Source organism: Homo sapiens, chromosome 6 (genome assembly GCF_000001405.40).
Source record: "Homo sapiens chromosome 6, GRCh38.p14 Primary Assembly".
Classification (NCBI taxonomy): Eukaryota; Metazoa; Chordata; class Mammalia; order Primates; family Hominidae; genus Homo; species Homo sapiens.
Window position 1 is genome coordinate 69,630,867 of NC_000006.12, and position 1,820 is coordinate 69,632,686.

Below are 1,820 nucleotides of genomic sequence, written 5' to 3' on the forward strand. Positions count from 1 at the left end.
TTAAATAGGCAATGTTAAACTGGCTAGTTGCTCACCAACCGCTTTTTTTTTTCTTGGGCACTCAACTAGACTACATTTCCCAGCCTCTCTATCCATTATGCATGCCATGTGACTGGGTTCTAGCCAACAGAATGTGAGAAAATGTGATGTGTGACACTTCTAGTCCAGAATCATAAAAGCCCTCACACTTGACCCTCCAGGTTCTTGCCCCTCCCCTGGCTTGATGGAGAGGAACTTAGAGGCCACACATTAAAGGTGGTAGACCACACAATTCAAGGAGTCTAGGTTCCTGAACTATAGCTTAGGAAGACAGCTGCTTGCCAATCAGAAATACTTGTTTTGGACTTCCTGTGAGCAAGAAATAAGTTTTCTTAGGATTAAGCAACTGAAATGTATGGATTTATCTGTTGTAGCAACAGGTAATACGTTAATTAATGCAGTAGGTTTTGTCACCCATAACTGCCTCCCAAAGCCCCACTCCCTACCCACCACTTTATTTCCTCTCTTCAATGACTTCTTTCTTCCCTTTATTCCCACACACATTTCACCATACAGTCTCTAGATCCTGGGCCTAGGGCAGGCTTGAGGGCAATGCCCCATCAGTCCCTACAGAGAGCTATCCTTTTTCAGCTTTGCACACAAGGCACCATTTAGAAGGAAGAGGACTGATTGAGTCCTTGCTGAGGGAGAATGTGAGCCCAGCCTGAACTCCTGGGAAGCAAAAAGTGGAGCAGAAATGGAAAGGGTGATGACCCACGTTCTCATTTGCTCACTGAGGGCTGGAGGCCGATCTGCAGACATTTGTGGCTGCAGTACAAGCTCTGCAGGGAGAGGCTTGCCAAATCATCCAAGAAAAGAAAAACCTCACTCCTGTGGCTCAGATCTGCTTCTTAAGGTGAGGTTTTGTGGTTATCTCTGCCCAGGGCTTGTGATTACTGCAATTTCTTTGTTCTTTTCTTTCCAGGAACCATCTGGCTCACCTCCTTTTTGTGAACCTATGAAAAGAAAAATCACAAAAGAAACAAACAAACAAATGAGAAAACACACCTCTTTGCTACAGGGTAACCTAGTCAACCTTTAAATTAAAAAGCCACGAGTTTCCAACGATCTGCCTCTGACTATTCTGCATGCTGCCTGACTCCCTGCTGATAGCAGTGATTCAGAAACTTCATCTTAAGAAAGAAGGGCCTGGAACCAAAAGCAGCAAGGGATACAGAGAAAACACAGCAGACCATGAAAAGAAGTTGAGATAGAAAAAGAGGAAAGATGCAGGCTTACTTGTGTCACCCATGGAGATGCAGGAAGAGAAACCAGCTTTGAGGTGATGTGACTGTTTTTAGTTGTTTGTCAGTAAATAGCAGACATCAGCTTGAATGCAGTTGTTCAGTCATAGTTTTGATAAAAAGGATGATGTGTGCTTCTTTAAAGAGTAGCTGTTACACAGTAGGTGCTCAACAGATTATAAATGAAGGAATATAAAAAAGAAACCAGGGTAATATTTTAACAAACAAAAAAACAGAATATGGCTACTGATCATATGACTTCAAGATTTTCTTTAAATTCTTGGAAGAGGGAGGCCAGTAATATCTTTTTATATAAAGAAATCTCATTAAGCCATGTTCAATATAGGCAAATTAATTTTAGTGCCATTTAGTTCATTAATCAGAGGTTGGGCTGGCATAGAAGGTGATTCAAAATTCATAATTAAAGCAGATCTGGCCAGTTACCATGTAGACTGAATAATCTTCCTTTCCTCATATAACTAAAATAAAAACGCTTTTGGTCTAGTTTCTAACATTTTCTCTTTGGTGCTTTGATTG

At 41.3% G+C, this 1,820-nt stretch overlaps 1 annotated feature.

Annotated features, from left to right (window-relative positions):
• Positions 1,157 to 1,206: an enhancer, noted in NCBI's record as "active region_24725". NCBI's record gives its function as "activates an Ori minimal core promoter by ATAC-STARR-seq in GM12878 lymphoblastoid cells {active_cell/tissue: GM12878}" and the evidence as "EXISTENCE:reporter gene assay evidence [ECO:0000049][PMID:35858748]".